A 27,783-nucleotide genomic window follows, 5' to 3' on the forward strand; every position below is an offset into this window, starting at 1 on the left:
AGACATTGGAGAATTCAGCCTAAGAAAGTTTTTGCAGAGAAAACAGATTCCCTATAATTATAGGCTGAAAAATGTTTCCCTCTAGGACTATGCAGTTAGTAGTGTCGTCAATTTCCACCTCTCACCTTTCTCCTGGTGTTTTCACAGGAGGAGTGGACCATCAAAATAGTTGTTACTGCATGGATTAAAATCATTGGCAAAGAAGAGGGGAACCTTGATTAATGTCCTCATTATTTAGAAACTTAGAAAAAGGAATACATATTCATTACAGCACTTTAACAGTGTTACCAAGATAAAACCTTTTTTTTTCTGTTTTTTTCTTTTCTATCTATTATGCTAAACTCACTTAATTGGTATTCCTGCCTCCTCCACATTGAAGAAGAGGGGATGGCTAATGAATATAAAAATATGGTTACATAGAAGGAATAAGATCTAGTGTTTGATAGCACAATAGGATGACAACAGTTAACAAAAATTCATTGTATGTTTCAAAATAAAAGAGTGGACTTGTGATATTCTTAATGCAAATAAATAATAAATGCTTGAGGTGATGGGTATTCTAACTACCCTAATTTGATCATTACACATTGTGTGCACTTATCAAAACATAATGTTTCCTGTAAATATACATAACTCTGATATGCCCATAATAATAAAAATTTTAAAAAATTAGAGAAGAACATCAGCAAAGACAACCCAAAACCACCTCTTACCTGATCACTTCACTATGTTTTCTGTTTTGTTTCTTTGAACTTCCAGTGCAAAGGAAGTATTTCTTTTATTGCACTTCATCTGTCCTAGCTATAGCTATTTGCATATTTGACTTATCTTTCAACTAGTATAAAAATTCCTCAAAGGCAATATTTCACTTTAGCAGAGCTAAACCCATCACTTCACTACTAACTGTGTGTACCTTGAGTGACTTAATCTATTTCCTTAGCTGTAAGCTGGGGGCCATGATGGCATCCGATTTATAGTTCTGTGGTGAGTATTGAGTCAATGAGAATGAACCTTCCAGAAAAAACCCGGCATGTAGTTTGAACTCAGACATTGACTACTAGTATGATTTTTATATCCTTTTTGTCTCTTTTAAGAAATAATTGTAACACATCCTATACAAAAATCTGTAATTCTCCTATTGAGAAATCCTAGAGAGGAACAAAAAGAAAAAGTTGGAGATAGATGCTCACTCTAGGTAACTTTCAGCATAGATTGGCTTAAGACCTATTGCAACAAAAGTACATGAAATGCTTATTAATATTGCAAATTCCTGACAAGACTCTCTGGGATAGAATCTCAAAATACCTATATCTTCAGTAAGCTTACCAGAGTATTCCGACACAAGCTACATTTTCAGAAGTTTGGTCAAAGGAAAATGGTCATCTCTGGATATATTAACTGGTAAAAACCAGATGTAGGCTCTAAAATGCCCATGTGGAATGTTTCACTCATTTTATCATGAAAGACAACTTGCTTGGGGTGGCTGCAATCCCACTCCTGTTTCTATCCACCACAGTGAGGATAACTGATTTCTCAGACAGTCTCTTAAAGCTCATGGGCATGGCTCCTTGGACCTGCCTTGTAAAAACTATGGGGCTATTTCATTTGCAGAACTGAATAATTAACATACATCAATGCGTGGTGCAATATAAATCCACTGTGAGGCTGACCTTGATCTAAGTGTCACAGTGACGCACTGTGGAGCTCAGTAGAATACTTTCCATAAAGCGCAGGTGCAGGATTTTATTCTCCAGAGTCCGCTTCGATGAAACTTTGCTCAGATTTTAATTTCTCTAAAACCTAATAGTGTTTGGGAGTTAGCTGGATTTTTTTTTTTCTGAATTCGAGTTATGACTGTTGAGTCACAGAAGACATCTAGTGCTTCAAACAGAACTGGATTTGACTTTTGGTTCTGTGTGACCTTAGGCAAGCCATTCAGCCTTTGTGTCCTTAGGTTTTTCCATGTGTAAAATGGAGATATTGATAAACACCTCAAAGAGTGTTGTGAGAATTAGGAATACACTTGAGAGCCCCTGTTACACACGTGAAATGCCCAAGAGATGCCAGTTTCCTGTTCCTTTAAAACACAAGTGCAGTGTTGAATGTAGAAGGACAAAAAAAAAAAAAAAAAGACATCAAATATTTTCTCTTAACTCAGTTTCTTAACTTCAGGACTACGGACGTTTTGAGCCTGATAGTTTTTGTGTTTGAGGGAGGAAGGGAGACAGGTGCCCCGTGCATTGTAGCAGGTTTAGCTTTGGCAGCATCCCTGGCCTCTGTCTATCAAATACCAGGAGCACTGCCCCGAGCTGACAATCAAAAATGTCACCAGACATTGTCCATGTTCCCTCAAGGGCAGAAATCACCCCATTGAGGAGCACTGTCCTGGTTCCTGCCCTATAATTTTAAGCCATTAAGTTGTAAAATCAAACCAAGAAATCAAATTGTCAGTGTTTTACCAAGCCAGTATCAAAAAGGAAACTAACCTGGCTATGATGGTTATCCTTTTGACAGTTCCCCAGCCTTATAAAGGGGAAATCTCATAGCGCTATTAGGGTATAGCAAAGGAAGGTACCTGTCACCTTGAGGACTCACAAGTAATCCATGAGCCACAACTAAGGTTAGATTCTCAGACTTTAGAACGCCATAATCTCAGGCTGGCTTATGTCACAGATCTTACTAAACTAGGGCCAAGTGCCTCTTGCTGTGTAAACTAGGGGACAATGACTTTTGCATGAGGCTGATATAAAAATGAAATGGTAAGGCCAAGCATGATGGCTCACACCTGTAATCCCAGCACTTTGGGAGACAGAGACAGGGGAATCCTTTGAATCCAGTTGTTCAAGACGAGCCTGGGAAACATAGGGAGACCCTGTCTCTACAAAAAATAAATAAATAAGAATAGTAACAAATAAAAAAATTAAGTTGACATGGTGGTACATGCCTGTGGTCTCAACTACTTGGGATGCTGAGGTGGGAGGATCTTGAGGCTGGAAGGTAGAGCCCGCAGTGAGTGTGATCACACCACTGCACTCCAGCCTGGGCAACAGAGTTGACACCATATCTCAAAAAAAAAAAAAAAAAAAAAAAAGGGCTGGGCACGGTGGCTCACGCCTGTAATCCCAGCACTTCGGGAAGCCGAAGCCGAGGCGGGCAGATCATAAGGTCAGTACATCAAGACCATCCTGGCTAACATGGTGAAACCCTGTCTCTACTAAAAATACAAAAAATTAGCCAGGCGTGGTGGTGTGCGCCTGTAGTCCCAGCTACTTGGGGGGCTGAGGCAGGAGAATGGCGTGAACCTGGGAGGTGGAGCTTGCAGTGAGCCGATATCGTGCCCCTGCACTCCAGCCTGGGCGGCAGAGCGAGACTCCCTCTCAAAAAAAAAAAAAAAAAAAAAAAAAAAAAGAAATAGTTAGTTCATTAATTCTTAAAGAGAAATGGAACGTCAGGGGTACTTCCATTCAAACTGGTATAACCAGCAACTTTAGATTCTTAAGTGCAGGGGAAGCCAGATCACTGAAGGTCCTTGGTGAGCATTCAGCGAGGACTAGAGGTATGAGCTGGAGCATTGAATGGCATCAAGCTATCAGAGCCTGCTGTTCCTTTCCAAATAGGGATGTGGACCAATGGGGCACACTGGCTAGTTCTTTGAAGGTTATTGCCACCATTTGCCTCTGCAACCTGACTCTGCTTCTGCTGATGACCAAGCATTTTAGCATTTTTTCATTTAAGTTTAATCAGGCCTGTCAGAGCTTTGCTCTTTGCATTGGCAAGGCTTTGTGAATTATTATAGGAATCTAACTGGTGGTATTTTTATAAATGTACCGTAATTCTAGGTTCCTGAGATGCACCTTCCTGTAGACCCCACCTGCCCTCTGGACAGTCAGTCTCTCTGCTGCCCCGCTCCCCTCAGCACACTTGATCTTTCAAATACTCTTTTCACAAGCAGGGCTATGGCATGCTTTCTTTCACACTCTGCATCTCTCTTGGAATCATGTTCACGAGGTAATAAACAGGAGAAAGTGGACAAGTCAAGGCTACGCAAATCACACTGACACCCCAAATGTCCTGTTTCCTCTCCTCCTGGTAAAATTGAGGTAGATGCAGAGAAGTTTTGGTCATTTATTTTGTATTAATTTCTTAGAAATTGCTTTGTCCTCACTTTATACATAATTAGCATTTAATAAACATTTGTCAAACAGAAAATGTTTGTATAAATAAACAAATGTGTGATATTATTGTAATAATAACAGTGGTTACTATTATTATTAGTAGTAGTAGTAGTATTAGTATTATTAGTATTATTATTTGAGACAGAGTCTCGCTCTGTCACCCCAGCTGGAGTGCAGTTGCATGATCTCGGCTCACTGCAACCTCCACCTCCCGGGTTCAAGGGATTCCCATGCCTCCGCCTCTCGAGTAGCTGGGATTACAGGCACCTGCCACCATACCTAGCCAATTTTTGTATTTTTTTGTAGAGACAAGTTTTCACCATGTTGGCCAGGTTGGTCTTGAACTCCTGACCTCAAGCAATCACCTGTCTTGGCCTTCCAAAGTGCTGGGATTAGAGGCATGAGCCACCATGCTTCCCTAGTTATTATTTTTTGATACTAGCTGCTGATTGCCTTTTAGGTCTTATCCGGGCCAGGTATTAACACTGTCTGGGGATTATCCCAGTTCATCTTCATAATGATTCAATACATCTGAACTTCTTTTATCACCAGATTTTAACTTAAGTAGTTTTCCCAAGCTCGTCCAGCTGACATGTGACAGAGGTGGAATTTGAACTGTTGCCCAAAGTGCATATTTACAGCGGCTCAGGACCTTTACATCTAATTGGTGAAAGCCAGATGTAGCCTCTAAAATGTCGATGTGTGATGTTTCACTCATTTTGTCATAAAAGAGGACTTGGTTGGGGTGGCTGCAGTCAGCTGAGATTCCACTCCTGCTTCTATCCACTACGGTGAGGATAATTCATTTCTCAGACAGTCAAAGCTCATAGGCATGGCTCCTGGACCTCTCTTGTAAGAACTGTGGGGCTTTAGTTCCCAAAAGAGCACAAGCCCCAAGAGAGCACAGCTGTGGTGTGATTCCTTTTTCAGCAAGCGGCTTCAATGTCTTCAACTAGGAAGGCCTTGGCAGCATTTCCAAGGCGTCAGGGAATTGTAACTATGATAATGGAAGTTCTGCAAAATTAAGCCCAGGGTGAAGGCAGCTGCAAGTTAATGCCATTTGAAGGTTCTTATGTAAAGTGCATTAGAAAGCATCACAGAATAAGCTTTCTCATTCTGTCTGCCATGACACCTTATTTAATTCAGGTATGATAGGTTTTAAACAAGAGTATAAGAAGGTTTCAGTTACTGTGATCTTTCCTCTCTTCCTAGGAAAAGGTTTCATATCAAGGTTTCTTTCTCAGATTTTACCTTGCTCCTGACATTAAGCTGTTAATTCACTGATATTAAAATGCTTTTTTAAAAAACCCTCTAAACTGGCTGGGTTTTTCAAACATCAAAAATATAATACCAGAGCTGCCAGCTCTTGTTCCCTGTAGCTTATGTTTTGGCTAACAGCCAAGCACCAGCTGATCATACTCTTAAGAAGCCAGACAAATTTAAAACCATAGCTGCTCAAATAGAAATTAGTAAGAAGGTTAGCAGTAAATGGAAAATAAATTTCATGTAATACCTCTAAATATAGGTTAATGAAATCAGTCCTCAATCTTCCTAAGTGAAAACTAGACCTCTGATTAATGTTAAGATTTAGCTGGCTGTTTTAACATTTAAGATTTAGCTGGTCGTTTTTAAAAATAACATTTAAAAAATTGCCATTCATTATTTTCTTTTGTGTAACAATCTAGAGCACTTTTCTGTCTGTTAATCCATTGAATTAAATCTTCACAAGAACTGTGACAATGAGGCATTATTCTCCCCTCAATTTTGCATTTGAGGAAATTGAGGCCTGGATAAGTTAAGTGACTTGCTCAGCTAGAAAATGACAGCGTGAAAATATCAACCCAGTTTTTTTCACTATATATTTACTGCTCTTTTTGCTTAAGTAAGCCATTTCTTAGTAGAACTTAACAGCTTTTACTTTCACTATAAAACATACTTAGCTAGCCAGGTGTAGTGGTGCATGCCTGTAATCCCAGCTATTTGGGAGGCTGAGGCAGGAGAATCGCTGAAACTCAGGAGGTAGAGGCTGCAGTGAGCTGAGATAGCACCACTGCACTCCAGGCTGGTTGACAAAGAGAGACCCTGTCTAAAAAAAAAAAAAATGCCAAACATATTTGCCATTATATTTTCATTCCTGCTGGAAATCTGTCTGTTGATCTGGGACATAGGCTGTGTCTAGAACTTTTGCTGTTACATGGGACTTCTCAGTTAACCTTAATATTCAATTCAGATAATACCATTCATTTATTTGCAATTTACTGGGGCAGAAGGCATGGAGTTAAAGAGGTCATAGATAATTCCAAGTTAACAACGAAGCAAAATTAGAGTCATTTTTGATGATCTCAAAATAGATTTATATCATTTTGTGTGAGTAATGTCAGGCACCTGAGACCTGTTTCTCAGTAACAGTTACCTTTAGTATAAAAAAGAATTGTTCTGATGCTTAGTAACTTCAAACAAGACAAATTTGTTTTGCTCATTAATCTGTAATTTGGGCAGGATTTAGTGGGGATAACTTGTCTTAGCGCTACATTGCAACAGCTGAAGTGGATCAAAAGCTGAGTGGTAGAATCATTTGAAGCTTCATTCACTCACTGGGCTGGTAGTTGAGGCTGGCTGCTGGCTGCTGGCTGCTGGCTGGGGACCTCAGTTCCACTCCATGTGAGCCTTTGTATGCCATCTATCAGTCTAGGCTGGTTCGTGCTTCTTCACAGCATGGTTGCTGTTGCTCAGGGCACACATCCTAAGAATGCGATCAAGAGAGACAGGTGGAAGATACGGTCCAAGGATTTAGCCTTGGAAAACAATATAGCATCATTACTACCATAGACTATTGGATGAAATAATCTTTATCCCCCACCCAGATCAAAGGAGAGGTACATAGATCTCACTTGTGGATAAAGAGGAGTGTCACTCATATAAAGAAAGCATGTGGAACGGGCCATTGTTGGAACACATTGTCTTCCCAGAAGAGCTTGGTAATCTCATTATCCATGGTTGCTGGAGCCCTAAAGGAAAGGCAGGAAGATAAGAAAAAGGCAGGCAAGTTCTTATTGAATTAATAGGTTTAAGAGCCACTTTTGTGGTCAGCCAGGTATGTATCCAGCTTAGGCATATAAAAGTCCCATCTTGCCCTTATTAATTCTCCTAACTTCTGGTCTTTCTTGCATCATTTAATTCTCCTATATTCTGGATTCTTTATGTTCTAAATTCAAATGACTCTCTAGACCTGAAAAAAATAAAAAAAAAAACACCACCATGGGACTTTTAATTTTGTTCATCATGATAAAATACCTAAAACTCAGAACTGACTCTAACACAAGTTCACATTCTACTATTTATTTCCCTTTTATTTTGTAAGGTGGATCAGGGTATAGAAGACAGGTTTCCTGGAGCCTGATTCACACTGTGCCCTTGTTTAAGACTCATAATGTTGTTACACAGACAACTGAGCTGTAATTGTAGCATTCAGATTCCCATTTAAAATAGATCCCATTTCCCTGAGGGAGATCATCCAACTTGTGTATTTTCCTGAGTGGGGCATCAGAAATGCTTCTGTCAGCTCATACATAGTATGACACTTCATTGTGAAGGCAACTCTAGTTTTCACATCCTTGCTGCACACCCTGCAATACATTTAAAGCTTGAGGATTTCCTCTCCTAACATATCCCAGATTCTTTCCATTTTCCTTTGACGCCTACTATACCTTCCCCAACCCACAACTCAAATTCTGAGCTGTAGGTGGGTTAGGATCCAGGTTTTATTGTTCCTAATGGGTCACACTGATAATAATTGTTCAGCTGCAGTGCATAGAAGTATCAGTTCAAAAACTCAGGTGTGCAAATAATTTTTGAATGACTAAGTGTATATTTGTAGTTTGAGCTTACTATTTCACTGGGTGGTGGAACCTGATGTTGAGCAGGCCACTCTCCTGACTTCCCATCTTTTCCCAGGTTCCCAGTGCCTTCGATGTTCCCCTAGCCTTGGTGCATGGCCAGGTAAAACCGCAGTTCTTGGTCATTGCTATGGTCTAAATGTTTGTATCCCCTTAAAATTCACATGTGGAAATCCTAATCCCCAAGGTTATGGTAGTAGAAGGTGAGGCCTTTGGCCAGATGATTGGGTCTAAAGGCAAGCCCCTGTGAATGTGATTAGTGCCCTTAGAAAAGAGATGCAAGGAAGATCCCTTGCCCCTTCCATCATGTGAAGTCACAGAGAGAAGGCAACATCTAAGAACCAGAAAGCAGACTCTCACCAGACACTGAATCTGCCAGCAACTTGATTTTGGACTTCCCAACCTTTGGAACTATGAGAACTACATTACCACTCAGTTAATGGTATTGTGTGATGGCAGCTCTAATGGACTAAGACAATCATTATCCCTCCACATGACATACTGGAGATGTATAATACCTCTTTCTAGACATGAGTTCATGTCTGATGAACCTCACCAAGGGATATTCTCAGGTCTGCCTCTCAGATACTGCTATGCTCTTTAGATAAAAAAAGAACGCCGAGTAGCCCTCCCAAGTAGACACGTAGAAACTCAGTGGGGACAAGGTCTTTCACCACTTTTCTGCATGCAAAATCATTTATGGCTCCCCAATTCTGAATGGATTGAAGAGAGGTAGATGAAGTCCCTTGAGCCCCACCTGCCTCCACATACCACATGGACAGTTCTATTCTGTTGTTCCTTCTCTGTGTTGGAGTGTGGAACTCAGAATCTCATTCTCCCTTGGGCTTTACCCTGGAAAGTGACTCATATAGGGTTCCAGCTGCCCTTTCTCCCAGCTCATTTTGGAGGTTCATAGGCCTATTCAGGTTTGTGTTAGACCGTAGCCTCTGAAATCTTTGTCTAACCTGGAAATAAAGGGAAAATGGTGGAATAGGCTGGCTCTTTCTGATCAAAATCATTGTAACATGACTGGACCTTGCCTTTCTAAATCTGGTAATTTGAATCTTGTGTCATTCTATAACATCTTTTTTCTAAGTACAAACGCAATCAACTCGGGGTAGGGGGAGGAAGACTACAGTTTGAACAAACTAAAAACAGGAACAACAGTCAAAGGTTCCTGCTCTTCTTTTTCTGCTTCAACAATTCTCCCAGGAACTTGAGATGTTCCTTTGTACTTCCATATGTACCATCTTATCTATGCTTACGTTTCCATTAACACACCCATTGCTACTGCCTTGTAGAGCTATGACACCTGCCCTCCTCCCCACCTCCAGAGGTCAGTTTATGCCTTCACCCCCTGACATTCTCCCCACATCCACACATATACTTGGCAGCCAGAAAATTTCTTTCCATACATTTATGATGTAGGTATATCTGTGTCTACATCGCAAGACTTCCAGAACACTTTCACTTCGTCTCAAGTTCATTTCTCCAGATTTGTAGAAGACTGAAAGAATTAAGTAACATGTCAAGATCACAGGCTGGTACGTGGCAGAATGGCCTGTGAAATCCATGGCTATGAACTGAGTTGTGTCTCTGAAATTTGTACGTCAAAGTCCTAACCCCCAATGTATGCTATTTTTGAGATGAGGTCTTTGGGAGGTACTTAGGGTTTGATGAGGTAATAAAGCTGTGCCCCTTATGATGGGATTGGTACTCTTCAAGGAAACAAGAGAGAGGTAGTGCTCTGTCTTCTCCTCTCTCCCTTTCTTTCTCTCTTTCCCTTTGCATGTAAGGATGCAGCAAGAAGGCAGCTGTCCTCAAGAAAGAAAGAAGACTCCTGTATGAATTGGCCAGCACCTTGATCTTAGACTTCTCAGCCTTCAGATCTAGGAAAAAGAAATTTCTGTTGTTCAAGCAATTTCTATTGTATTTAGTCTATGGTATTTTATTACAGCAGGCGGAGCTAACAGAGACATTCACGTTTCTTTTCCTTTTTCTCCAACTTACCGCATTCTTATATTCTCCCATGACTCCATGATAAGGTACTATCATCATTTGTCTCACATTGTGCCTTTCAACAAAAAGATCAGAAAAGGAGAAGGGGCAATTGATATACAGAAAAATTTTTTTCCTTAGTGAAATTGCCTATTTCCTCTCCCCTATGTCCCTAATTAATCCTTGAAACCAGGCTTCCTGGTTGCTTGTAACAAACGGAACCTACAAGAATGTGGAAGTAAGTTTTGCTGGCAATGTGCACTCTGTTTTGCTAGGCCGGACTTTAATGCAGACTGGTAAGCAGGCATCTCCGAGCTGGTAGAAGTGTACACTCCTGCTGTATTCCATCATGTGGATCAAAGGCCAGGGCTAATAGCACTTAAATAATAAATGTGCTGTTTTAAGGTATGCATCATTTAAATTTGAGGGAAACGAGCAAATCTGGGAAGACTACAAGGGATGTACTTTCCTGACAATGATATCATCAAGAAAAGCCATTAATAAAGGGGAGGAAATCTTCAAGATCTCAACAGAGACCGTTTTAGAAAAGCTAGTCATCAAATTTTGCCTTTGTGACTGGCATGGTCACTGTTGCATTAGCATATAGGTGGATCGGGATATAGTGGGGATTAAGGACAGATATGGAAATGCGGGGATGGGGAGAAGAAGGATTCCAGGAAATAGGACTTTGAGAAAAATAGAGGACTTTATAAAATTTCAAGACTTTGAGGGTAAGTATGGGTAGTCTCTCAACATAGTTTTCTGGGTTTTGTTGTTAATGCTTTTTCAAGGTAATAAGCTCCAAAAAGCATCAAAAAGCCCCTCTTCTATCTTGCTCCTAGAGAGATCACGGAGGCTAGGAGGGTGCTGGATCTGAGAATTCAGCATGAGCCCTAAGTGAATTCAGATGATATTCTCAATCACTATTCACTGATCCTCAAAGAAAGTCAGATGGGTTAAAGACTTAAACGTTAGACCTAAAACCATAAAAACCCTAGAAGAAAACCTAGGCATTACCATTCAGGACATAGGCATGGGCAAGGACTTCATGTCTAAAACACCAAAAGCAATGGCAACAAAAGCCAAAATTGACAAATGGGATCCAATTAAACTAAAGAGCTTCTGCACAGCAAAAGAAACTACCATCAGAGTGAACAGGTAACCTACAAAATGGGAGAAAATTTTCGCAACCTACTCATCTGACAAAGGGCTAATATCCAGAATCTACAATGAACTCAAACAAATTTACAAGAAAAAAACAAACAACCCCATCAAAAAGTGGGCAAAGGACATGAACAGACACTTCTCAAAAGAAGAAATTTATGCAGCCAAAAAACACATGAAAAAATGCTCACCATCACTGGCCATCAGAGAAATGCAAATCAAAACCACAATGAGATACCATCTCACACCAGTTAGAATGGCAATCATTAAAAAGTCAGGAAACAACAGGTGCTGGAGAGGATGTGGAGAAATAGGAACACTTTGACACTGTTGGTGGGACTGTGAACTAGTTCAACCATTGTGGAAGTCAGTGTGGCGATTCCTCAGGGATCTAGAACTAGAAATACCATTTGACCCAGCCATCCCATTACTGGGTATATACCCAAAGGACTATAAATCATGCTGCTATAAAGACACGTGCACACGTATGTTTATTGCGGCACTATTCACAATAGCAAAGACTTGGAACCAACCCAAATGTCCAACAATGATAGACTGGATTAAGAAAATGTGGCACATATATACCATAGAATACTATGCAGGCATAAAAAATGATGAGTTCATGTCCTTTATAGGGACATGGATGAAATTGGAAATCATCAGTCTCAGTAAACTATCACAAGAACAAAAAACCAAACACCACATGTTCTCACTCATAGATGGGAATTGAACAATGAGAACACATGGACACAGGAAGGGGAACATCACACTCTGGGGACTGTTGAGGGGTGGGGGTAGGGGGGAGGGATAGCATTAGGAGATATACCTAATGCTAAATGACGAGTTAATGGGTGCAGCACACCAGCATGGCACATGTATACATATGTAACTAACCTGGACATTGTGCACATGTACCCTAAAACTTAAAGTATAATAATAATAAAATAAAAAAATCTGTGGTACACGTGTCGGAATTCTCTGGTGTTAAAAATACAGTGTATTGGGTTCCAGCCCAGGTGAACTGAATCCAAATCTTTGGGAATGGAGTATAGGAAACTGATTTGTTTTTGGGGGGATGGGGTCTCCCTATGTTACCCAGGCTGGTTTCAAACTCCTAGACTCGAGTGATCCACCTGCTTCAGGTTCTCAAGTAGCTGGGATTGCAGGTATCCATCACAGAGCCTGGCTGGGAACAGAGTTTTTACATTTTTATGTTCATGTGTGTGTATGTATGAATGAATTATTTAGGGGGTACATGTGAAGGTTTGTTGCAAGGGTATACTGAATGATGCTGAGGTTTGGATTTCTATTGATTTCATCACCCAAATAAGGAACACAGTACCCAGTGGGAAGTTTTTCAGTCCTTTTTCTCCTCTCGTCCTCCCCACTTTTTGATTCCTTGGTGACTAGTGGTCTCACCTTTATGTCCATGTGTATCCAATGTTTAGCTCTCACTTATAAGTGAGAACATGTGATATTTGGTTTTTTATTTCTGTATTGATTCACTTAGGATAATAGCCTTCAGCTCCATCCATGTTCCTGCAAGGGAAATGATTTTGTTCTTTTTTATGGCTGCATAGTATTCCATGGCATATATGTTACGTACCGCAGTTTTTAATCCAATCCACCACCAATGGGCATCAGAAGTGATTTAAGTCTTTGCTACTGTGAAAAACATATGAGTACATGTGTCTTTTTGATAGCATGATTTATTTTTCTTTGGGTAGATATCCAGTAATGGGATTGCTGGGTTGAATGGTAATTCTATCTTTAGTTCTTTGAGAAATCTCCAAACTACTTTCCACAGTGTCTGAACTAATCATGCCAACAGTGTATAAGTGTTCCCTTTTCTCTGCAATCTTGCCAACATCTGTTATTTTTTGACCTTTTAATAACAGCCATTCTGACTGGCATGAGAAGGTATCACATAGTGGTTTTGATTAGTGTCTCTCTGCCAACTGGTGATGTAAAGCTTTTTTTTCCCCTGTACTTATTGGCTGCTTGTATGCCTTCTTTTAAGAAGTGTCTGTTCATGTTCTTTGACCACTTTTTAATGTTTTTTTCCTTGATTTAAGTTTCTTATAGATTATGGATATTAGTCCATTGTTGAATGCATAGTTTACAAATACTTTCTCCAATTCTGTAAGTTGTCTGTTTACTCCATTGGTGGTTTCTTTTGCTGTGCAAAAGTTCTTTAGTTTAATTAGTTCTTAACTGTCAATTTTTGTTTTTGTTTGCTTTTGAGGACTTAGTCATAAATTCATTGCCTAGGCTGATGTCCAGGAGAGTATTTCCTAGGTTTTCTTGCAGGATTTTTATAGTTGGAGGTTTTAACATTTAAGTTTTTAACTCATCTTGAGTTAATTTTTGTATGTGGTGAGAGGTAGAGGTCTAGTTTTATGCTCCTGCGTATGGTTAGGTAATTTTCTCAGCACCATTCATTGAATAGGAAGTCCTTTCCCTATTGTTTATTTTTATCAACATTGTCAAAGATTAGTTGATTGTAGGTGTGTGGCTTTTCTTCTGAGTTTTCTATATTGTTTTATTGGCTTATGTGCATTTTTTTCTTAACAGTACCATGTTGTTTTGGTTACTGTAGCCTTATAGTATAGTTTGAAGTCAGGTGATGTGATTCATCTGGCTTTGTTCTTTTTACTTCAGATTTCTTTGTCTGTTGTGGCTCTTTTTAGTTCTATAAAAATTTTAGAATTCTTTTTTCTAATTCTATGAAAAATGATGTTGGTAATTTGATAGGAATAGCATTGAATACGTACATTGCTTTGAGCAGCATGAACATTTTAACAATATCCATTCTTCCAATCCATAAAAGAGGGACATTTTTTCATTTCTTTTGTTTTCTATGATTTATTTCAGCAATTTTTTATAGTTCTCTTTCTAGAGATCTTTCACCCCCTTGGTTATAAGTATTTGTAGGTATTTTATTCTTTTGTGGCTATTGTAAATGGGATTATATTCTTCATTTTGCTTTCAGCTTGAATGTTATTGGTGTATAGAAATGCTACTGATTTTTTTTACATTGATTTTGTATCCTAAAACTTTACTGAAGTTGTTTGTTGGATCTAGGAGTCTTTTCATGGAGTCTTTACAGTTTCCAATGTATAGAATAATATCATTGGTGAAGAGAAATGATTTGCTTTCCTCTTTTCCTGTTTGGATGCCTTTTATTTCTTTGTATTGCCTGATGGCTCTGGATAGGACTTCCAGTATTAACATTGAATGGGAGTGAGAGAGTAGACATCCTTGTCTTGTTCCAGTTCTTAGGGGGAATACTTCTATCTATCTGTTGCTGTTGTAGTATGATATTGGCTATGGGTTTGTCATAAATGACTCATTATTTTGAGGAGTGTTCCTTTGATGCCTAGTTTTTTAGAGCTTTTATCATGAAAAGATGTTGAATGCTATCAAATTTGTTTTCTGTGCCTATTGAGATGATTGCATGGGTTTTTTAAAATTCTGTTTATGTGTTAAATCACATTTATTGACTTGTGTATGTTGAAGTAAACTTGCATGTCAGAAATAAAGCCCACTTTATTGTGTTGAATTAACTTTCTGATGTGCTTCTGGTTTCATTTTGCTGGTATTTTGTTGAGAATTGCTGCATCTATGTTAATCAGGGGTACTGACACATTGTTTTATTTTTTTGTTGCATCTTTGCCTGATTTTAGTATAAGCATAATACTGGTTTCACAGAATAAGAGAGAAATCCCTCCTCCTTAATTTTGTGGTATAGTTTCCGTGGGATTGGTACCAGCTCTTCTTTGTACATCTGGTGGGATTCAGCTGTTAATCCACGTAGTCCAGGGCGTTGTTTTGGTTGGTAGATATTTTTATTACTAATTCAATTATAGAACTCATTATTGGTCTGTTGAGGGTTTCAGTTTCTTCCTGATTAAATCTTGGAAGGTTGTGTATTTCCAGGAATTTATTAATTTTCTCTAGATTTTCTTGTTTGTGTTTATAAAGGTGTTCATAATAGTCTCTGAGAATCTTTTGTATTTCTGTGGAATTGGTTGTAATGTCACTTTCACTGTTTCTGATTTTGCTCATTTGAGTCTTCCTTTTACTTTGTTAATTCAACTAATGGTCTATTGATATTGCTTACACTTTCAAAGAACCAAATTTTCCTTCATTGATCCTATGTATGATTTTTGGGGTCTCAGTTTTATTTAATTCTGCTCTGCTTTTAGTTATTTTTTTTCTTCTGCTAGCTTTGTGTTTAGTTTGTTCTTGTTTTTATAGTTCCTTTAGATGCAAGGCTAAATTGTCAATTTGAGATCTTTCTTTTTGATGTAGGCATTTAGCACTATAAACTTTCCTCTTAACACTGCTTTTGCTACATATCAGACATTTTGGTATGTTGTGTCTGCATTTTCATTTTTTGTAAAGATTTTTTTTTATTTCTGCCCTAATTTTGTTGTTTACTCAAAATTTATTCAGGACAAATTGTTTAGTTTCCATGTAATTGTGTGGTTTTGAGAGTGCCTTTTGGTATTGATTTCTATTTTTATTCCACTGTGATCTGAGAATATGCTTGGTATGATTTAGTTTTTTTAAATTTATTGAGACTTGCTTAATGACATTGCACATGGTCAATCTTAGAGTATGTTCATGTGCAAGTGGGAAGAATGCATATTCTGTAATTGTTGAGTAGTATGTTGTGTAGATATCTATTAGGTCTAATTAGTCAAGTGTCAAACTTAAGAACTTTTTTGTTAGTTTTCTGCCTTGATCTGTCTAATATTGTCAATGGGGTGTTGAAGTCTGGAAACTGAATATTTTTGCAAGAATCTTTCAAAAATATTTTGTGGTAAAGTTCGAGAGCCTTTTATTATGAGCGTCTTATTGTCTAGAATAGTGCCAAGCTCCTATTAGTCATCAAATAATTATTGCAGTGAATTAATACATCTCCAGTATGTAGCCTAATTACTGACACATGATAGGTTTCAGTTAAGGTTTGTTGAAGGAATCTTTGTGATAGCTTCTGGTTCTTAAGAGGCACTTTGGAATGAAAGAATCCATCTATTCACCTAGCAAGCCAGCTGTCTATTCGCACATCCATTCAAGTTTTGGGATTTGGCATAGCAAGGAGACACTGCAAGGGAAGTCTGTTATATGGACAGAAATTCCTTATTTGTTTAGGAGAGAGTCTTAAGAGTAGAACTATTGGGTCAAGATCATTAACATTATAGACTCTTAACGGACACTTATTGTCAAATGTTCTTGCTCCATGGCTTTTTCATAGGCTCTCCTTTGTTCTCATAACTTGGTTCCTAGCCCGTTGCCTGTATGATTCCCTGAATGCATGAACACCTTTGCATTTTGCTCAAGGTTCATCAACCTGCCTTAAGATATTGTTTTTATTGTTTCTACTCTCCATCCTCAATGTCTAATCAAACCCTTGATCCTGGTACCCCTACCAGCCCTGTTCTAAGAATGACCACTCCTGGCATGACTGAAAAATTATGGCCATTCTCAAAAGACTCAACCTGGGGAACAAATAAGCTGTTGTTGTTGTTGTTGTTGTTTTAAATCAGGAGACCACTGGCTGTTAGGACCTTTTCTTTTTTTTTTTTTTGTCAGTTCAACATTTTATTTATTTCTTTTTATACTTTTAAGTTTTGGGATACATGTGCAGAACGTGCAGGTTTGTGACATAGGTATACACGTGCCATGGTGGTTTGCAGCACCCATCAACCTGTCATCTACATTAGGTATTTCTCCTAATGCTATCCCTCCCCTATCCCCCCCACCCCCCAACAGGCCCCGGTGTGTGATGTTCCCCTCCCTGTGTCCATGTGTTCTCATTGTTCAACTCCCAATTATAAGTGAGGACATGCAGTGTTTGGTTTTCTGTTCCTGTGTTATTTTGCTGAGAATGATGGTTGTCAGCTTCATCCATGTCACTGCAAAGGACATGAACTTATCCTTTTTATGGCTGCATAGTATTCCCTATGTTGTATATGTGCCGCATTTTCTTTATCCAGTCTATCATTAATGGACATTTGGGTTGGTTCCAAGACTTTGCTATTGTGAACAGTGCTGCAATAAACAAATGTGTGCATGTGTCTTTATAGTAGAATGATTTATAATCCTTTGGGTTTATACTCAGCAATGGGATTGCTGGGTCAAATGGTATTTCTGGTTCTAGATCCTTGAGGAATTGCCACACTGTCTTCCACAATGGTTGAACTGATTTACTCTCCTACCAACGGTATAAAAGTGTTCCTATTTCTCCACATTCTCTCCAGCATCTATTGTTTCCTGACTTTTTAATGATCGCCTTTCTAACTGGCATGAGATGATAGCTCATTGTGGTTTTGATTTGCATTTCTCTAATGACCAGTGATGATGGGCTTTTTTTCATATGTTTCTTGGCCACATAAATGCCTTCTTTTGAGGAGTGTCTGTTCTTATCTTTTGTCCATTTTTTGATGGGTCTGTTTTTTTTTTTCCTGTAAATTTGTTTCTTTGTGGATTCTGGATATTAGCCAGATGGATGTTGTCAGATGGATAGATTACAAAAATTTTCTCCCATTCTGTAGGTTGCCTGTTCACTCTGATGATAGTTTCTTCTGCTGTGTAGAAGCCCTTTAGTTTAATTAGATCCCATTTGTCAATTTTGGCTTTTGTTGCAATTACTTTTGGTGTTTTAGTCATGAAGTCTTTGCCCATGCCTGTGTCCTAAATGGTATTGCCTACAGTTTCTTCTAGGGTTTTATGTTTTAGGTCTTATGTTTAAGTCTTTAATCAATCTTGAGTTAATTTTTGTATAAGGTGTAAGGAAGAGGTCCAGTTTCAGTTTTCTGCAACTGGCTACCCAGTTTTCCCAACACCATTTATTAAACAGGGAATCTTCCCCATTGCTTGTTTTTGTCAGGTTTGTCAAAGATCAGATGGTTGTAGATTTGTGGCATTATATCTGAGGCCTTTTTTTCTGTTCCATTGGTCTATATCTCTGTTTTGGTACCAGTACCATGCTGTTTGGGTTACTGTAGCCTTGTAGTATATTAGCGGGATGGGGATACCATTGAATCTATAGATTAGTTTGGGCAGTATGGCCATTTTCATGATATTGATTCTTCTTATCCATGAGCATGGAATGTTTTTCCATTTGTTTGTGTCCTCTCTTATTTCCTTGAGCAGAGGTTTGTAGTTCTCCTTGAAGGGGTCCTTCACATCCCTTGTAAGTTGTATTCCTAGGTATTTAATTGTCTTGTAGCAATTGTCAATGGGAGTTCACTCATGATTTGGCTCTCTATTTTAGGTGTATAGGAATGCTTGTGATTTTTGCATATTGATTTTTTATCCTGAGACTTTGCAGAAGTAGCTTATCAGCTTAAGTCAATTTGGGGCTGAGATGATGAGGTTTTCTAAATAGACAATCATGTAATCTGCAAACAGAGACAATTTGACTTCCTCTCTTCCTATTTGAATACCCTTTATTTCTTTCTCTTACCTGATTGCCCTGGGCAGAACTTCCAATACTATGTTGAATAGGAGTGGGGAGAGAGGGCATCCTTGTCTTGTGCTGATTTTCAAAGGGAACGCTTCCACCTTTTACCTATTCAGTATGTTATTGTCCATGGGTTTGTCATAAATAGCTCTTATTATTTTGAGATACATTCCATCAGTACCTAGTTTATTGCGCGTGCTGCTGGATTTGGTTTGCTAGTATTTTTTTGAGGATTTTCGCATAGATGTTCATCAGGGATATTGGCCTGAAATTTTCTTTTTTTGTTGTGTCTCTTCCAGGTTTTGGTATCAGGATGATACTGGCCTCATAAAATGAGTTAGGGAGGAGTCCCTCTTTTTCTGTTGTTTGGAATAGTTTCAGAAGGAATGGTACCAGCTCCTCTTTGTACCTCTGGTAGAATTAATTCGGCTGTGAATCCGTTTGGTCGGGCTTTTTTTGTTTGGTAGGTTATTAATTTCTGCCTCAATTTCAGAACTTGTTATTGGTCTATTCAGGGATTCAACTTCTTCCTGGTTTAGTTTTGGAGGGTGTATGCGTCCAGGAATTTATCCATTTCTTCTAGATTTCCTAGTTTATTTGCGTAGAGATGTTTATAGTGTTCTCTGATGGTAGTTTGTATTTCTGGGGGATCAGTGGTGATACCCCCTTTATTATTTTTTATTGTGTCTATTTGATTCTTCTCTCTTTTCTTCTTTATTAGTCTGGCTAGCAGTCTATCAATTTTGTTAATCTTTTCAAAAAACCAGTTCCTGGGCTCATTGATTTTTTAAAGGGATTTTTGTGTCTCTATCTCCTTCAGTTCTGCTCTGATCTTAGTTTTTTCTTGTCTTCTGCTAGCTTTTGAATTTGTTTGCTCTTGTTTCTCTACTTCTTTTAATTGTGATGTTAGGGTGTCAATTTTAGATCTTTCCTGATTTCTCCTGTGGGCATTTAGTGCTATAAGGGGATGGAGGAATATTTACCAAGCAAAGGGAAAGCAAAAAAAAAAAAAAAAAAAGCAGGGGTTGCCATCCTAGTCTCTGATAAAACAGACTTTAAACCAACAAAGATAAAAAAAAAAAAAAAGACAAAGAATGGCATTACTTACATAATGGTAAAGGGATCAATGCAACAAGAAGAGCTGACTATCCTAAATACATATGCCCCCAGTACAGGAGCACCCAGATTCATAAAGCACGTTCTTAGAGACCAACAAAGAGACTTAGACTCCCACACAATAATGGAGAATTTAACACCCCACTGTCAATATTAGACAGATCAACAAGACAGAAAATTAACAAGGATATTCCAGACTTGAATTCAGCTCTGGACCAAGCAGACCGAATAGACATCTACAGAACTCTCCACCCCACATCAAAAGAATATACATTCTTCTCAGCACCACTTTGCATTTATTCTAAAGCTGACCACATAATTAGAAGTGAAACATTCCTCAGCAAATGCAAAAGAACAGAAATCATCACAAACATTCTCTCAGACCACAGTGCAATCAAATTAGAACTCACGATTAAGAAACTCACTCAAAACCACACAAATACATGGAAAATGAACAACCTGCTCCTGAATGACTACTGGGTAAATAATGAAATTAAGGCAGAAATAAATAAGTTCTTTGAAACTAATGAAAACAAAGACCACAATGTACCAGAATCTCTGGGACACAACTAAACCAGTGTTTAGAGGATGTTAGGTGCTTAAGGGCAGCTATGATGGCTAATTCATCTTTATGCCTGTGGCCCCAAGGAGCAAGCCAGGCTCTCCAATAAGCTGTGTAGCTTCACAAAAGGGCTCTGGCAATCCAGAGGAAACCCCAATCCTGAAGGAAAAGCAAACTTTCCTGATATTTACTGAATGTCTGTTTAGTGATTGACTGTCATCTTCCTTGTTGAAATCAATAGGAGACTCAATGAAGTGAAAATGAAATCAATATTTAATTCCCACTGGTAAGAGATAATGCCATGGCCTATGTTCAACTGCCAACTTTCCCTAATTCAAAAGGGTAATAGGAGCTGTGCCATCTCAGCCTCATAGCCAAGACTCATATCAGTAATTTTTTCCTTACTGATTTACTACGTTCCTACCACATGGTAGATGTTATGTTGTACATTTTTACCATGCTCATACAGCAAACCAACTAGTGATTTATCAGTTGAGTATTTAAAATGTGGCATAGAAAGGGCTGAATACTTTTTTTTTTTTTTTTTTTTGAGATGGAATCTCACTCTTTTACCAAGGCTGGAGTGCAGTAGCACAATCTTGGCTCACTACAACCTCTGCCTCCTGGATCAAGTGATTCTCCTGCCTCAGCCCCCTGAGTAGCTGGGACCACAGGCACACACCACCACGCCTGGCTAATTTTTGTATTTTTAGTACAGACAGGGTTTCAACATATTGGCCAGGCTGGTCTTGAACTCCTGATCTCAACTAATCTGCCTTCTTCAGCCTCCCAAAGTGCTGTGATTACAGGCGTGAGCCATGGCGCCCAGCTGAAAGTGCTGAATACTTTAAATATACAACCTCATTGAAGCCTTACAACCACATTTTGAGATACGTACTATTGCCTAATTCTACACATGAGAAAACTGTGGCATGGAGAAGTGAAGAAACTTGCCCTCTTAGAATACTGTAGGATCAGGATTTGAACGCATGTCTGGGTAATTCCATATCTTGTGTTTTTAACCACTATGCTTTACTACCTCATTTCTTAGATGAGGAAACTAAGACTCAGAAATAACATTTCCAAGGCCCCACCCAGAATCCAAGTGTCTCATTTCACCTTAAAAAGTCCCTTTAAAGTGTGAGTTAAATTTCAGTCGTTGTGGTTATTCCATTTATTCAGGAGCTATAATAAACAGGGCCCTTAATTCTATGTGGAATATATAGTTGAAGACCCACTCCTTATCTTTACAGAGTATATATCTAGTTGTTGGCAATATGACAAGTAAGTAAAAACAGAATGCAATATGTGGAAATCCAGGGGTGTCACAGCTGGTGAATCTATCGAGAAATCTTTGGCAATAGAAAAACACGGCTATTAAGGAAATGCATTTTCTTATATAATGGGAACATCATAGGGTGTTCTGGGGGGTGGTTGATTCCACATTCCAGTGTCATGAGAATGTACATGCGAGCTATTGCCCTCTTTCCACTTTTCCACTCTTGTTTTGCTATGTGTCCTTCAGCTAACTTCTCTTACTGCTAGAGTATTTGTGGGAGTATCAGGTGTTACATCCAGAAATGACTATGCACTGACGGATCAATTGCCATTTCTTCCTATGTGTCTTTTTAAAGTGGGAAAATATTTCCCAAATATTCTCTGCATGTTTAAGGGAGTCTTTTGTTAGAATCTTGTACATACCAATCCCCCAAACAATTAGTGTCTCAGGAAATGAGACAATCATGACTGACTTACAGGACCCACCTGACAGGGCTGACGCAACTGGAGGAGGATGGATACCTGAAAAAAAAAAGAAAAAAGAAAAAGAAAAAAATAACAGGGTTTCATCTGGAACAGATAGGGGAAATAATGAACATTAGGAAGATAACCAAGAGGATTGATTGCTTTAATAAACAAATGTAATATAGTTATAAAGTAGTCCTAGGAGCCGGCTGAGGTGACCACTACTGGGTGTGGAGAAGGCTTAGAAATCATGGTAGGCCCAAGGGAAGCTCAGAACCATAGACACAGGAGGCACCTCTATTCACCTGGCTTCCTCCATAATTCAACTGACAGATCTTCCAATTACTGCCTTTGCAGTATTGGGAAGAACACTTAACCTCCATATGCTCTAATTTCCTTCCCTTCATAGTAAGAGTCTCTGTCAGGCATTGAAGAGCTGGACTCTTTACTCTTCATGCACAGGGAGACCAACAATTAATATTGCTCTAACCATACAATTGTGCAGAAAACATACCTGGGGAATTTTACTCAATAAAGATACCGTGTAAGTTACCCAAGCTACAGAGTCCAAAGGGGATTTAAATCCAGCCCATGTTTTACTTGTCAAACCATGCACCTTGGCAGATACTTGTGTCCACCCTGAGGAAAGCATCATCCCACAAGGACATTATCCACCTGCAAGAACAAGTCCAGGGGTCTGCATCTGCGTAAGGTGGGAAGTAACTTCAAAACACCTACATGTGGTTTCATAGGAGCCCTGCTCCTCAAGATGTTTCAGGAGAGAAACTGGTGCTCCTCTAATAGGGCTTCTTGGGAGACAGCATACAAGAATGGTAGGCATATGTTTGTAAGTCTTTTTAACCCACTCCTAGTACCAAAAGTGTGTGGTGGCTCAGATGATGGGCTCTGGAATCAGAATGCTGGGACTTGGTTTCTGAAGTCTGCTCCTTTTTAGCTATCTTAATTTGGGTTTCCGAATAAGTTTGAGATCACTTATCAGTTTGTTAGATAATCCCAGGAAGCATGGTAAGATAATGAACAACAGAAGAAAACCAATAACTATTACCAGTATTGGTAGCTGGGACTTCAGTTCACCAGGATCTACATGAAGGGCTTTGTAGGAAGCAACTTGGAATTGTCTCAGCAACGAACAAAAACTGGGGTATTTAATCCAATGACTCCTATTTCTCATTACATAAGGACTAATTCTGGGGACATGTGGAAGCCAGCCAACAAGATAACCCTCAGAAATATCTGCCTCATAATATTTGGTATTTATGCCCTTGTGTAATCTGTTCCCCTAATATATCAGGATTGGTCTGTGCAACCAACAGAATATGGCACAGGTGATAGGATGTCATTGCTGAGGCTAGGTTATGACAGACAGCATGACTTCTACATTGTTTTCTCTCTTGGATCACTAGCTTGGGGGCAGCCAACTGCCATTGAGGAAGCCAAATGCACAGGCTCATTTGGCTCATATTGGCCTCCTGCCCACAGCCTTGAGTCAGTGATCTTGGAAGTGGATCCTTCAGCCCCAATTCAACATTCATGTGACTGTAGCTGTGACCAGCCCTTCAAGGTGCAGTCTCATGAGAGAATTTGAGATAGAATCATTTGACTATGTTTCTCCCAGATTTCTCACCCTCATAAATAGTGTGAGATAATAATAAATATTTGTTAAGTTACAACACTTGGGGTAATTTTTATGGAATAATAGATAACTCATACATGGTGTTAACTTTCCAACATTTCTGAAATGTTGCTTCCATGGGCAAGACAAGCTCCTGTGGCCAGAGAAAATCATCAGGAAAGGGGCACAGATGCTTGAGGAAAGAAGTTTACAGCACACACCAGAATGGCTCTTCAGAGCTGCAGGTGATGTCTGGAGGAGTGTGTGAGGACAGAGCACCAGGCCAGCTGTGTAAACTTGAGCATGATTATACACACCTCTAAGCTTGGGTTCTCTCTCCTCTTTTGGCCCACTCTTCTTCTTCACTTCCTGATTTTAATCTCTTCTTCTTTCCTCCCTTTTATTTATTTATTGATGGATTGACTTTTCAAGGTATCTACCCTCTTAACTAAAACTACGGTTCTCAACTCTCAGCTCAGGCTAACCCAAAAGGGCTACTTTAGCAAAGGGACAATGAATCTTTGGTTCTATTAAGAAGCTGTTTTAGAATCTTAGTGTGTCTGATTGTGTGGCTTGAGATAGACAGGGGTGTCTACCATAGCAGATTCAAGGAACTTGATAGAAAATCTTCCGAAAATAAATCTATCCACTAGTCAATCAATAAGGCAAATGACTAGGCTTAACTACTATCCCAGTCTCAATGTAAAGGTCCACAGGCACTTATTTTTCATGTTGTGTTTACCAAAACAATTGCTACATTGATTAGACTTTAGGTCAGTTCCATAAAATACTTAGAATCTGTGCAGGCACTGGGTTAGGAGGGCCTATTCTACAAAGATGGAATGCATAAGCTTACTCTCCTTTGGAACTCAGGCTGGCAGGGAAGGTGACCCAGGAACTGAGTGTTTTAGTGTAGATTATTCAACTAGGCATGCAGATGTATATCTTCAGATGAGAAAGTCTATCGCTTTTGACTAATAGGCCCACTAAATTGTAAGAACTACTGATGTAGGCCAATATGGTCTACAGTCTGAGTCAACATAGCAAAAAATAGAGCTTCAGCTGAGTTATGTTTTGTTTCCCCGCTCCCCACCAGAATAGTCTGGGCAAGATGAAAATAGTATTTGGAAGGAATGCTCTCAGCAGCAGTATCCAAAATTTAACTGGTTTGAGCTTATCATCTACTTGTTTATGCTGATTCCATGATTAACCAGGAGTTTCTGCCTAGGTTGTTACTGCATTTTATTTTATTTTTATTATTATTTTTTGAGACGAAGTTTCAGTTTTGTTGCCCAGGCTGGAGTGCAATGACACAATTTCAGCTCACTGCAACCTCTACCTCCCAGATTCAAGTGATTCTCCTGCCTCAGCCTCCTGAGAAGCTGGGATTACAAGAGTGCGCAACCACGCCCAGCTAATTTTTGTATTTTTTTAGTAGAGATGGAGTTTCACCATGTTGGCCAGCCTGGTCTCAAACTCCAGACCTCAGGTGATCTGCACGCCTCAGCCTCCCAAAGTGCTGGGATTACGGGCATGAGCCACAATGTTCGGCCCGTTACTGTATTTTGATACTCATGACTTTGTCTATGGCCTGCTTTAGCTGTTCCTGCTCCTGGGCTACAAACAACCATACCAGGCCAGGGAATCTGCATCAGCAAAACTCTCTCTTTTCACAAGGATGAAAAACATCAAGGTTTAATGTAATCAGAAGTCTTTTTTGGTGAAAGCTTATAGAGATGTTGGCAGTTTTAAAATATTAGTAAAATTGTATTCAAATCAGTAAACATCACTGAGTGCCTGCAAGTTGTCTGAGTATTATAGCAATATGCTGTACCACAGCCACCAAAAAAAAATGATAAAAAGCATGTACAACTAAACACAGTTTAATCGGTTTTTGAAGATTCAGAAGGCATATTGGCTGTTTCGCAGGTGCAACCTATCATGGATCTTGTTATTTCTGTTTTTGTTAAAATCAAGTGAACAGATGCCAGATAAACTTATGTTATTAAGCAGGTTATCAGAATAGGGACTTGGTAGAGAGGATGTGATTTCGTGCTGGACTGCAACTAGTAAGAGAAAATCCAAATTCTTACTGCACTGTGCATTTATGTTTCTGAGAGGAACTCTCAGCAGCCCCACACCAAAATTAACTGTCCCTTTGCCAAATGATGCAAAATTTGGTTCCTCTTCATGGACCTCTAAAATTAACTTTCAGATGATTGATTCTTATAGATGAGATCTGGGATTCTAAATACCCAAAGGTAATAGACCATGTCTCTTGAGGTGATTTATCGTACCCAGATCAGAAGAGAACTGTGAGACTACAATAGCTGGGTGGGCTATACCACTCTCCACCAAACCCTCATCCTAGCATTTATTCCCCAGCCTCTGGCAAGGCTTTATGAGTTTCTTAAAAAATGTCACGAGAACAGCGTGCGTAATTCCATGAAAAAGATGTGCTTTTCACCTGACGATCAGGAAGTTCTTCTAAACATTTTGCTGAAGTTCTCCGTGCTTTCTTTAAAACCAATCTCTCAGCCAGGTGTGGTGGCTCACGCCTGTAATCCCAGCACTTTGGGAGGCCGAGGTGGGTGGATCATGAGGTCCGGAGTTCAAGACTAGCCTGGCAAAAGATGGTGAAACCCCGTCTCTACTAAAAATACAAAAATTATCCAGGCATGGTGGCAGGTGCCTGTAATCCCAGCTACTCAGGAAGCTGAGGCAGGGAATTGCTTGAACCTGGGAGGTGGAGGTTGCAGTGAGTTGAGATCGCGCCACTGCACTCCAGCCTGGGCGACAGAGCAAGACTCTGTCTCAAAAAAAAAAAAAAAAAAAAAAGTCTCTCACTCATCACAGACAACCTGGGAAAAGCAGACCACTGAAATGCAGAAGGAGGAGTTAAAGTCTTTAAACACTAGGGTTCTTTTAACTTCAAGAGTTCATGGGAATTGTAAATGATATTGGCACTGAATTGAATTTCAAAGGTGTCTTGTATTACTGAATCATTAAAATATTGTGTGTATGTCTGTGGCACACTAAAGAAATACTCTCTGTATGGACTTTCCTTGACTTCATCAGTAATAACAAGGCTAACCAGTAATTTAGAAAGTACTTTTATTTCTATTATATTAAATGTTCCTTTTAATAACTTTGCAAAATAGATTTTATTATAATTCCATTATAAAAATAAGATCATGTTTTTAATCAAAAGACAGACTATAACAAGTATTGACAAGAATGTGGAGAAATCATAATTCACATATGTCACTGTGGGAATGCCACATTGAACGGTTGCTTTAGGAAACAGTTTTATATTTTTTCAAAATGTTAAAAATGGGATAACCAGATGACCCAGCAACTCCATTCTTAGGTATCTACCCAAGAGAATTGAAAGCATATGTCCACACAAGACTTGGACATAAATGTTCACAGCACCATTATTTATAATAGCCAAAGAGTGGAAATTACCCAGTTGTTCATCAACTGATGAGTGAAGAAGTAAAATGTAGCATATTCATTCAATGAAATACTTGATGGTAAAAAAGGAATGATCCAATAATGCATGCTTCAGTAGGAATTATACTTGAAAACATTATGCTAAGTGAAAGTAGCTAGATACCCAAAAAACATATATGAATTCATTCATATAAAATGTCCAAATAGGCAAATCCATAAAGACAGTAGATTAGTGGTTGGCAGGACTAAGGTGAAATGAGAATGGGAAGTGACTGCTAATGAATATGGGGTTTTCTTTGCAGTGATGAAATGTTCTAAAATTAGATAGTAGTGATGGTGCATAACTTTGGAAATACTTTAAGCCACTGACTTACATCTTTTAAAATGGCAGATTTGATGTATGTGATTTATATATCAATTACAAAAAGATATGTAAAGAAGACAAAATAGACTCCCTGAGAAATTATTTAATTCATCCAGCAAGTGATATCCATTGGCAGAAGAATGGATCATTACAAATTTGCAGTATATTCAGACACTGGAATAATACACAGCAGTAAAAAGGA

At 39.0% G+C, this 27,783-nt stretch overlaps 1 protein-coding gene and 1 long non-coding RNA gene across 8 annotated transcripts in view; one reads left to right on the top strand and one right to left on the bottom strand.

The window, feature by feature from the left end:
• GRM7 (glutamate metabotropic receptor 7) overlaps window positions 1–27,783 on the top strand; it is an 880,419-nt gene that overhangs the window by 651,983 nt on the left and 200,653 nt on the right. The window lies entirely within an intron of this gene.
• Window positions 6,644–22,187, bottom strand: GRM7-AS1 (GRM7 antisense RNA 1). The gene is made up of 3 exons (NR_046606.1): window positions 22,150–22,187; window positions 7,067–7,183; window positions 6,644–6,918 (listed from the first exon to the last, which is right to left on the bottom strand). It is a non-coding gene; the product is annotated as a GRM7 antisense RNA 1 (long non-coding RNA).

This window comes from Homo sapiens, chromosome 3 (assembly GCF_000001405.40).
Source record: "Homo sapiens chromosome 3, GRCh38.p14 Primary Assembly".
In the NCBI taxonomy this organism is placed as follows: domain Eukaryota; kingdom Metazoa; phylum Chordata; class Mammalia; order Primates; family Hominidae; genus Homo; species Homo sapiens.